Source organism: Homo sapiens, chromosome 6 (assembly GCF_000001405.40).
Source record: "Homo sapiens chromosome 6, GRCh38.p14 Primary Assembly".
Lineage (NCBI taxonomy): Eukaryota > Metazoa > Chordata > Mammalia > Primates > Hominidae > Homo > Homo sapiens.
This window is the reverse complement of record NC_000006.12, coordinates 161,045,994-161,058,363: the sequence shown is the minus strand read 5'-3', so window position 1 is coordinate 161,058,363 and position 12,370 is coordinate 161,045,994. Positions and strand designations below refer to the sequence as shown.

Here is a 12,370-nt window from a genome sequence, read left to right as displayed (position 1 = left end):
GGATACTGTGGTAACCTGGAGCCCTTATGCTGCTGGTCATGTGGGAATGTGGACCCAGTGTTGACAGACTTCCCAGTATTTCTAGGAAAACCCAAAATCTGGATTTTCCCATTTAAAAATATTAGACACTAAGTCAAAAAAAATATTTAAAACACTGTGTGGGACAAAATGTAACTTTGGGAGACTGTACACTGTCAAGAGCATACATGGCTTTACAGCCAGAGCTCTGGGTTCATATCCTGGCTCTGCCACTTTCTAGATTTGTGACCTGATCAAGTTACTTAGCCCTCTTCCTTGCCCCGGCATGTAGCGAGTGTTCAGTTAATGCTAGCTACTAGTCTTCTCAATATTACTATTGTGCTGTTGTTATCACGGGATCCAGTTCTCAGCTCAAAGTTGATGACTTCTATCCTACCTGTGATATTACATCAGTTTGAGTCGGTTTGCTCACTATAGTCCAAAATAATGTACACAACTTCCTACTTTCCTTTGTATGTTTGTATGTTTAAGAAAACAGAAAACCTAAAGGCAAATGAGCAAGTATGTGCTTGTTAGTGTGTCATTCAATTACAAAGTTCTTGTAATCTTATGAAATCAGACAGGGAATGATTGAAACAAGTAATAAGTTAACTCTAACAACTGTATTAAGCAGCATGATCTTAAAGGCATGGGGCGGAAGAGCACTGGAGCCTAATCAGTGTTTCCAGTGAGTACCAGAACTACACTGTTGCTGGTCTAGCTTCACGTGAGGCACACAGGAGGTTTGTTTACAATGTCAGTGCTCGTGTCCCCCACTGGGAGATTCTGACTTGTCCTACTCTCAGAATGGCTAGGCACACGTATTTTTAAAAGCCCTCTAGGTAATGCTGAGGTGCAGCCAGGTTTCGAAACCATGTAGGATAAAGTCTGGTATCCCAGAATCCTGAATTTGAATCCCTCTAACAATCTATAGCTCTGTGATTTTTGTGAAAGTTATCTACTGTACCTAAACTGGTTTCTGCATTTGGAAAATGCACCACCTCACAGGGTTGTTGAGTCTGGAACACTGTGAGAGTCAATAAATGGTAGCTGCTGTTATTGATTTCCTAGTTTCTACATGCTTTGTCTGCTTTGAATATAAACGGCAACCTCTTCAGTGTTTCCTGTGTGTACAGGAAAAAATTAGCACAACTATTGTTAGAATCCAAACACAAAGAGTATTTCATTGGCCATTAAATTTATAATAACTACATGATCGTTTCTAATTCTAAAGAAAGCAATTAAGACAGTAATCAAAACAAAAATATTCCCAGTATTTGAGGCAACAAAGTCAGACAATTATACATTTTGTACATTACATTACAATATATTCATCTTATTCTTCTGAAAATAAAGTTCATAAGGAAATCAAAAAGGAGGAGCACAAAATAACCATATTACAGTATTTTGTATTTAACATTTTAAATTGCACAAAACCCATAGAACTATATATTACAGAGTGAACTTTAGAGTATGCACATTTTAAAAAGTCAATCAGGATTTTGGAGGATCCCAGGATGCAACGCAGATGAAATAAATGAATCTAATTAAATTACAAAAGTATGATACCACCTCACTGAGGAAGGTGAAGGAAAAAGGTGCTGACCTAAGTTACTTTGGAGAATAGTGTTTTGACTATAAAAGGCTAAAGACAAAAGGAACTTGACTGAAACACTACACCCTAGTTGATAAATTTATTCCTCACAGGGGTACTGGTTAGCAATTCTGAAACTACTTTACACGTATGGTAGGGTTGAACAAACATGTAATTAATTGTAGTAATGGTAGCCAGGTTTCTCACTATAAGAGAAGTAAGTTACAGATAAGCAAGGGAGGAAAGTCGGAATGAACCTTGTGCTGAATCAGAGCGAAAGACATCAGTATGAACTCATGATTATTTTAGATAGGGAATTATAAATCTGTGTGTATACACAGGTTAGAAGACATACCTGTACGTTCTAATTCTATCACTGAGAAGGCCTAAAAGCAATGACACCCCAACAGCACCGAACACACCCAGTGCCCACATCTTCATTTCTAAATACAATTATCCAGTAAAAGGAACCAGAGCTCCTTGGAGAAATGGCTGATCCTAGGACAGAACGAGGGAAAATACAAGACAAGCCCAGAGCATCTTGTGGTGCCAGAAAGTAAGAAATGATTCAAAAAGCAAATCAAAAGGAAAATAATACAACAAAAGAGGGGAGCATATCAAACGACACAGAAGGCAACTGAAAGAGCTCCAATGGGCTAAAACAAGAACAGCCTGAGCAACAAAATCAGTAACAATGGTACTGGATTATAATTCAAAGTAAAAACAACAGCAAACATTTATGAGTCCATACTGATATAAATGGCCAAATAAATGAGAAGAAGCAAAACTTCCATCTGGAGAAATTCCAAATAATACATTAGATACTCCCCCTTCCAGGAGGTAGAGATTAATTTCCCTCCCCTTGAGAGTGGGTTGTGTGTGGTGACTTACTTCCAAAGAATTGGAGTATGGAAAGGAAAAAATAGTAACTCCTGGAGAAACCTAGCAGACACCACCTTAACCAAGTGATCAAGGTTAACATCAACAGTGACAATGTAATGCGACTAGGGCATTTCAACTCTGTGGCATCCATTCCCAAGCCCCATCACCCCAGTCTAATCATGAGAACATATCAGACAAATCCAGATTCATGGACATGACAATTAAATGCAATGTGGTGTCCTCGACTGGTTCCTAGAACAGAAAAGGGAATTATTAGAAAAAGTGGGAAATCCAAATAAAAGTCTGTAGTTTAGTTAACAGCACTTTGTATCAATGTTAATATATTAGTTTTAACAAATGTATTGGGTAAGTGAGAAGTCAATATTAAGGCGTGCTGGATGAAGAGCATATAAGAATTCTGTACTATCTTTGCAAATTTTCTATCAATCTGATATTATTCCAAGATGAAAAGTTTGCTCTAAAAAATACAATTGTATGCAGTAGTTTTGATATTAAGGATAAATCTTTTATATATGTTTACTTGGTCTTAATTTCTAAGCTAAATTGAACTGTAAATAGTATTACAAAACCCATCCTTAGCTACAGTAACTGCTGGGAAGGACACCTGGAAACTACTGGACTGCTGAGATGACTCTTGTTAACTTTTAAGCAGGGTTGGGAAGGGTCACCATACAAGCACATCTAATGAAAGAGGAGCAAGAGTTGGAGGCAAGACAATCCCTGTCATTGAGAGACCATGATACATTATGAAATGGCTGATACATTCATCCCTAAGACCCAAGATCAACAATACTCAGACTAGAAGAACTGGTATTACAGCAAGGTGGAAAAATAAGTACAAACAATAAGATCCTGGGATGTTCTAAACAGCAATGGAATAAGAGAAGAAGAAGATAAATGAGAAAATATAAAAAAGATCTTGGATTGTATCTGGGTCCACAAATGGATATGGGGGAGGGTAAGGTTTCCTCTTATTTTTTCCCATCATGGTAGTCCTTACAGCCAGGATAAAACTGCAGCTGGTATTATTAGTTCAGTTACATGGATTTAAATAAGTTTCATTTGATAATCTGAGACTCTCTTATTTACAACACTGTTTCTATAGATAAGTATTTTCAAGATCCCAAACAACTGCCTATTCAAGTGGACTCTGGAAACTAATCCATTTGTTTCAATTAGAGACTGCCTATGTAACTAGAAATGTGTCCTGAGGAAATCAATTTACAGAAGGTACAGAGCTACAACTTCATATAATTTTGAACAAATCATTAAAGGCATTTATGGCATTCATATTATGAAAACAAACTGCAAACAGATTTTTTTTTAGTATTGCTAGTTCAGTTCTTTTAAAATATTTTGAAATATTAATAAAGTTTTAGAGAAAAATTAGTTTGGGCCGGGCGCGGTGGCTCACACCTATCATCCCAGCACTTTGGGAGGCCAAGGCGGGTGGATCATGTGAGGTCAGGAGTTTGAGACCAGCCTGACCAACATGGTGAAACACCATCTCTACTAAAAATACAAAAATTAGCCAGGCATAGTGGCGCATGCCTGTAATCCCAGCTACTCCGGAGGCTGAGGCAGGAGAATAGCCTGAACCCCCAAGGCAAAGGTCTCAGGGAGCTGAGATAGCGCCATTGCACTCCAGCCTGGGCAACAAGAGCGAAACTCTGTCTCAAAAAAAAATTATTTTGTAAAGCATGCTTACAAAGGGAAATTAAATGTAAGATCACATGTGCTTTGCAAACACTGGTTATAAGTAACGTAATCAAAAAATATATAAAGACATAGATAAGAAAAATCAAACATCACGTGTATTTCTTCTTTTCTACAAAATCCTTCACCTATATTCATTCCTATTATCACGAAACCACAAAAACTGCAAAATATGCATTATGTACAATCTGTGGTACCTTGTCAGTTCAGATATTTTAACAATTAAGAACAAAAACACTAGCCAGGCGCAGTGGCTCACGCCTGTAATCCCAGCACTTTGGGAGGCGGAGGCAGGTGGATCATTTGGGGTCAGGAGTTCAAGACTAGCCTGGCCAACATGGTGAAACCCCCGTCTCTATTAAAAACACAAAAAATTAGCCAGGCATGGTGGTGCACGCTTGTAATCCCAGCTACTCAAGAGGCTGAGACAGGAGAATTGCCTGAACCCGGGAGACAGAGGTTGCAGTGAGCCGAGATCTTCCCATTACACTCCAGCCTAGGAAACAGAATGAGACTTTGTCTCAAAAACAAACAAACAAACAAAAAAGTCCTCAAACCTAAAAGGTTTTACTGCCTAAAATGTATGCCCTTAAAATGTACAATTATTTGGCAGAGGTTAAAAGGCAGAAGATATCTTAAAAATAAAAATACAGTTGCACCCATATGGATTTACAGTTAGCTTCAAGGAAGAAAAAGTAATAAAACTTCTAAAAGTTTATGGTTGATTTGTAGAGCATTTTACCATTTGATAAGATGTGGATCTGTGTCCCCACCCTATGTTGAATAGTAATCCCCAATGTTGGGGGTGGGGCCTGGTGGGAGGTGACCGTTTAGTACCATCCCATTGGTGCTGTTCTCATGATGGTGAGTGAGCTGTCAAGAGATCTGGTTGTTTAAAAGAATGGAGCACCTTCACCCTGCCCGTGCTCCAGCCATGAGAAGTGCCTGCTCTGGCTTTGCCTTCCATCATGACTATAGCTCCCTGAGGCCTCCCCAGAAGCTGATGTTGCCTGCCATGCTTCCTATACAATCTGTGGGACCATAAGCCAATTAAACCTCTTTTCTTTATTAATTACCCAGTCTCAGGCATTTCTTTATAGCAGTGTGGGAATGAAAACACCACTTACCGCCTATCTTTTTCAGCCTCACAACAACCACCTTGTGAGGTAGGTAAGAAGGTAGTATTATACCCACTCTATAAATGCAAAGGCTTCGAGTCAGAAAGATTCCTATCCACAACGTTCTATGGTAAGAAAGGGTCACAGTGAGAAATGAAACCCAGTTAATGGACTTCAAAATTGTGACTCTTTTCCTGACATACCAAATAAAACGACTAAAACAAACCTGGGAGTGGGGGACTGTACACATATTCACACACATACACACACAAGCACGCACACACACACGCCTCCCTTTATAGAAATTATGTTCCTAAAGTGGGAATAAAAATAAAATCTTACTTTCCCACTAAGTTAATTAGAATTGTAGAGCCTTATCTTTTGTTAGTTTGGATTAATCCCCAATACTGAAGAAGTCCCACTTTCGCTCTCTGTTACTCTTTCATTATCTGATGAACACTTAGCATCTTATGAACCAAAATTTAAAACAACAGGGGCTTCTGTAGTTCATTTTTTGAAAAGCAAACAACCTACACAAAATTCTAATAAAGTCTTTCAGTTATATACCTTATAAACTTTGAATTCGTGTTTCTTTTCTTCTATAACAAAGATGACCTCTTCAGCGAAATCTCAATTGGTCAAACCAAAGAACTACAACTCAGATGAGAATTCAGAACTCTGGGGAAACTATTACTGTCTTTTTTCAACATGAGTTCTAATATAAGATGTAGGGCACGTGTTCTCAATCTTTTCTTGCTATAACATATCTAAGGGATACAATCCTCATTAGTAGCAATAGTTAATCACCACGAAGAGCCTGGAGAGGAAGGAAGACAATTTGGGGAGGGAGGGTGGGTGAAGCAGTTTACGGAAGCCCGACATGTCCAACTCACCCCCGCCCCACCGTGGCCTCTTCTCATGTGCTGCTCTCCTATAAGAACCACTGAATTAGAGGTGAGGTTATACAGTCGGCCCTCTGAAACCCTGGGATATGCATCCGCAGATCAAGAATGTTTGAAAAAACATTAAAAATAAGAATACAACAATAAAAAGTAATACAAGCTACTCAGGAGGCTAAGGCAGGAGGACTGTTTTAGCCCACGAGTTTGAGTCCAGCCTGGGCAACGTAGTGAGATCTTGTCTCTAAAACAGTAATAGTAATAATACAAACAAAAAAGATACAGTATAACAACTATTTACACAGCATTTACATTGTATTAGGTATTATAAGTAATCTATAGATGATTTAAAGCATACAGGAGGATGCACATAGGTTGTATGTAAATACTACACCATTTTATATGAGGGACTGGAGCATCCAAGGATTTGAGTGTCCATGGGGGTCCTGGAACAAATCCCCCTGGGATGAGATACCAAGGGATGTTGGTACTGCCAGGACTTTTTTCTTCACTCATGTTACTTCAAAACCAGTGGTCACAATACAAATTAAACATCAATCCTGTCTTACCAACATATGTCCTTAATGAAATTAAACCACTCCAGCCATTCATGTTTAAGATTTCTAATCAAAATAATATTCAAAGTAAATCTCTTAAAATATAGCTACAAAGCACTGGTTCATGTTGTAAACATCTTCCTGAATTTATGTGAATGCTTAACCCGTTCCTCCTAAGGGCTCATAATCCGGCTGTCAGAATAAAAAATTAAAATCTTGCAAACTCAAGTTCTCTTCAGGTGTTTTCCATAGTTTCCAAGTTGTTTATCGTTAATGAATTTAAAGCAAGCCAGGCTGTGTAAAAAAAAAATGAAGTTAAAAAAATAAAAATAACAAGTATATACAGTTGGCTCTCCATATCCGTGGGTTCCACATCCATGAATTCAACCAACTGCAGATCAGAAATATTTGGGAAGAAAAACTACATCTGTATTAAACATGTACAAACTTTTTTCTTGCCATTATTCCCCAAACTATACAGTATTAACAACCATTTACACAGCATTTATATTACATAAGGCATTACACATAATCTCGAGATTAAAGCATACGAGGTTGTGCATTGGTTATATGCAAATACTGCATCATTTTGTATGAGGGACTTGAGCATTTTCGGATTTTGGGATCCGTGGGAAGTCCCAAAACCAAACCACCTCTGATACCAAGGGGATTGTACATATGTATGTATACAGCTACTAAAATTCAGAATCACAGACTTAACACGGGTATAAGGTATTTCAAAGATTTGGGTTTCACTTTTAGCCAGACGAACATGCAAACTCACCAGAAAAGCAAAATCACTTGTACAGTACTATTTTGGACTCTCAAGAATGATATCCCACAAAATGCCCTTGTCTAGTATTACCACCCTTTACAATAAGGAATTTATAACACGTCAAGCTATCAAAAGCAAATCTATACTGTTTTCAAGTCACTTCCTCTAGTGGGCACATTCCTCTCACAAAAATCTACACATATCGAAACACATATCTGACAAAAATCAGGACTTCCCTTAAACTTTCATCACCTGCACCGAACACTTTAACCTTGCGAGATAGTGTTGGCTTTTTCCCCTTGATCATTCTGACATTTCTCTATAATTTACATCTCTTTAAAATACAGTGACCAAAACTTGACATGCTAATCAAAAGAGAGAAAACAACTTCAAAGGATAGAGAAAGAACTCTCTCCTTGACCTTGGGCGCCCTATTCATTTATAAACACCTGAGTGTGACGTGGACTTTTTTCCTGACTCACATGCAGCTTGTGGTCATCCATGACTATGGCTTTCTTCCTTCCATTTTTGTTTATACCCAGCCTGTCCTTTGCCATCCTGTATTTACGTGGTTGAACTTATTCCCTCCACATACCACCCTGCACTTAATTCACTAAATTTCATGCAGTTTTCATAGATCTATTTAATCATAGTACTTTACAGAAATGCTTAAATGTGCAATTTATAACTGCCATTTGTGTTCAAAAATATTAGAATATGAAAGTACATAACACCAACATTATAATTTGCAATAAATAAATGGAACTAAGGATATCATTGTATTAATACCTACTGGAAACCTACCTCCACTGGACGATCGTTCTTTACCAATGCTATACGTGCCCTTTGCAAGGAACCATCCATTAGCTTGTGAAGTCTTAAAATTAACTTTCTTAACCCCATCTGCTTCAGTGCTTTGTCTACAAATGGTCTATAAATAGAAGTCAGACAATGTCTACTAAAGCCTGCTTCTGTGCTCCAGTCTGGTGCTCCCCAGCCAAGAGAATCATCCTCAGATTCGAGCCTCTCAAGCTTCTTGGATATGCAGTCCCGCGACTGGATGTCGAAGCTGTTATCTATGGGCTGTCTGATTTCCGGTACCCTAGGATCAGAGATTTGTTCTTCTTCACTCTCATCCGTACTACTTTCCAACTCCTTTAATTCTCCTTCTGTGTCATCACCCTCATACTCCGGCTCATTACCTTTGGATGGTCGAGGGGAAGGGATTTCAAACACTGGCCAGCCAATGTCTGATAAATTCTTGATGCCCAAAACAGTGCCCATAATCCTTAATTTCTGATTTAAGTCTTTTGTGATGTTTAACCACAAACAGAGTGCCTGCACCCTGTCCTGGAAGTCTTTTGCAGCATATTTTTCATAGTCCTTCTGAAGAGCCTGCAATGATGGATAAAGTGCTTCTATGTACTCTAGCAGCTCCATTATCCGTTTTACCTGCTCAAATGAGACCCTCTGGCGTTGGAGATGCTCATGATGTGTTGAGTAACCTACAATCTTTGTTCCAGGAGTGGCTTTGCACTGCCCTTCTACTGAAGTACCATTAAAACCAGCTCTATCTCTAACAAAGGCGAAGCTCCCATAGTCGACTTTGAAAGTAAGGATTTCATTAATAATATCTGGGATGGCTTGACGGGCTGTATATAAAAAGAAGTCCTGGTCGTTAATTGTCCGTCCTGCATGCCAGGCTTGTAGCTCTAACCAGATCAGTTCGTTAGATCGGTTAAGCCAGAAACCAGACGTATTTTCTTGTCCTCTTTGCTCCCTGTCTTTTTTCTTTGAGACTGAGGTAAGCTTTAGCAAAAGTCGTAAAGTTTCAAAAAACTTTAAACGATCTGCTGGACAGTCAGTCCTAGAAGTCTGGCGTGCAGGTCTGGCTATAGGCATGGGCACAGATACTGGAAGCTTAGCATTGCTACAGCCAAGGCTGAGGTAAGGCTTATTGAGATCCACATCTGGAATTGATTTTTTTGGCAAAGATCCACCCACTGAGTCTAACATGAATGAGCACTGTACATTTTTTTTACGATCACGCTCTGTTGTTCTAAGAGCTGCTCGGATCTTTTTCTCCTGCTTATAGCTGTATTCTTCCACATTCTCCACTGTTTTTCCAGTGTCTTTATGTGGAGGCTGATTTGGTGCATTCATTTTTTCTATTAAAAAAAAAAATAAACAGAACATTATATAACTCTAAAATATGAAGCTACTCTCAATATTTTCAATAAAACTGGTATTCACACATATTTATATTTTCAGACTGCTAATGGAAGAAAAAAAAGCATACCATATCCTAAAAATTAAAGGAATCAAAAAATATATATGACATTTTCTATATTTTAAAAAAAATTATCCATTTTTCCAGTATTTGCTGTATTCTCTTATATTCACAACTAATTACCTAAACTAGCTGTTTATTTCTCTCTATGCTACAAAGCATAGTTATCAAATCATTTAACCAAATTTCCGTAAGTAATCACCTTCAATTTAAGGAGGAAGAAACAGCATGGGAGATCTGACGGACACCTGGATGAGAAAATATATTTAATTCCTGCATTTGTCATTAGCTAAATGTGTAAACTTAAGAGGAAATCACGTAAATTATCTGGATTACTTTTCTCATTGATAAAATTAGGCACATTGATGCAAGAATACTTAAGGCACCCTAAGATTATTCTCATAAAAAACTGAAAGACAGTTGACAGACAAAAACACTGACGTTAGTTTATTCTATTCCTTTATTTCTCCTTTGCCACAAACAAGTGGGCAATAACATTTTAAATTTAAAATTAGCAAGACTGAAGACATATAGACTAATTTGGTATAATTTGCTTAGTATGTTATACTGCCATGTAAAATCATTTACAATTAATGCGAAAAAAGCAAAAACCACCCACTTCCTTCAAACATCTAGAAGAGGTTCTATAATCTGATTCCAAGCTTTAAAATGAACACACATACATCCTGTATGGCACTTTTAACACTATTAATTGCTCTACGTTACTGAAATCCTTTCATTCTGTTGCTTCTGGGTTCTTACACTTCCTTAAGTTAGTCCCTTCTTTTCAAATACCTCCTTGGAGCTTTGCTCACTACATAAAATGTTAATGTTTCTCCAAGTGCTAATCTTAGATCTCTTCTCCCTGGGTGATCTCATTCATTTCCACATCATATATCGATAATGCCCAAACCTATAACGCCATCTCAATCTACCCTCTACACTCAAGGCATAGTTTATTTCATTGAATCTAGGACACACATTTTTTCATACATTAACATCTCTGAAATTAGAACGTTATATATAATCAATGATGATATAAGTAAGTTTTAGGGACATATTTGCCAATATTTTTCATTTACATTTTTCTTTTTTTCTGAGACAGGCTGGAGTGCAGCCTCAACTTCCTGGGCTCGAGTGATCCTCCCGCCTCAGCCTCCCAAGTAGCTAGAACCACAGGCACGCATCACCACACCCAGCTAATTTTTTTTTTTGGGTAGAGACAGGATCCCACTATGTTTCCTAAGCTGGTCCCAAATTCCTGGGCTCAAACAATCCTCCCACCTCTGTCTCCCAAAGTGCTGAGATTACAGGCATGAGCCACTATGCCTGGCCCATTTTTTTAAACATATATATATATATATATATATATATATGCATAAGTGAAATATATATCTACATATCAGAAAGTATAAAAGATCTCTTTAAATAAATAAAAATTCCAATTATAAGAACACACCATCAATTATAAGCTGTTTTTACCTTAGAATATATTATAATCTCTTAGTATATATTTCTTATATACTAAGAATTTTATTATATATATTAATATAATAATTATACTAAGAAATTATTATATAATTTTCTTAGTATATAATATCACCTAGTTTTAGGTGATTAGTTGGGAATATATAAGAGATTAGTTGTGAATGTAATATCTAAAGACATATTAGTATATCTTCAGATTTGATGGAATAGGGTATATTTACATGGGTTACAAACCAATATACCACAAACCAAGGCACCAATGAAAATTTGCTTAAAACCAATTTACTTCCTAACCGATTCAAATTAGTCTTAAAATAAGGATTTTTAAACAAATTTCCCAAAGAGCACTTATAGCTTGGTTTTTCTTATATTAAACTTGCCTTAAATTTACTTTATGATCCATCAAAAAAGGTTTTAAACCAATCTGTCCATAGAGATTTTTTGCTGTATTTTAGTATACAAACTACTATTATTATTATTTTTTAAATTTAAAATTTTTAAGATAGAATTTTTATCTTTAGTACTAATCTACTTCTAAATGTCTTTAAACTTTTCATATAGTCCATTTAAGAAAATTTCTTCACAGTTTTATTGTTTCTAGCTATAAATGCTTATCAACTCTTATTTATATAAAAAAATTGCTTAGACCAACTTTAATTCTCTTGCTCTGATGCGTTTAACTGTGTTTTTTATACCTTTATTAACAGAGCACATACATACTATTTGGTTAACCCATGGTATTTTGAAACCAAAAATGACCAGTGCTTCCACATTTAACTCCACTATATTTTTCAAGATAATTCATATTATACTTTATTACTGGGAAACACAAAATGACATATACATTGTATCACTGTGTAGGACTGGAGGTAAAGAAAATGAGTTCAGTTTCTAATACACTGAATTTGACGTGCCTATGGGACATACACGTGGAAATATCTATAGGTAACTAAAAAAACACACATGTTGGGCTTAGGAGAGAAATCCAGAGAAATGGATTTGGAAATTATTA

At 36.9% G+C, this 12,370-nt stretch overlaps 1 protein-coding gene across 7 annotated transcripts in view; it reads right to left on the bottom strand.

The window, feature by feature from the left end:
• Positions 1-12,370, bottom strand: part of MAP3K4 (mitogen-activated protein kinase kinase kinase 4) — a 125,612-nt gene that overhangs the window by 59,017 nt on the left and 54,225 nt on the right. For all 7 annotated transcript variants that reach the window (NR_120425.2, NM_001291958.2, NM_005922.4 and 4 more), the window contains exon 3: positions 8,385-9,748. Coding sequence is in view for 5 of the 7 variants with exons in the window: in NM_005922.4 (NP_005913.3) it covers positions 8,385-9,748 (1,364 nt within the window). In the remaining 2 variants the exon portion in view is untranslated. The remainder of the gene's footprint in view (positions 1-8,384; positions 9,749-12,370) is intronic.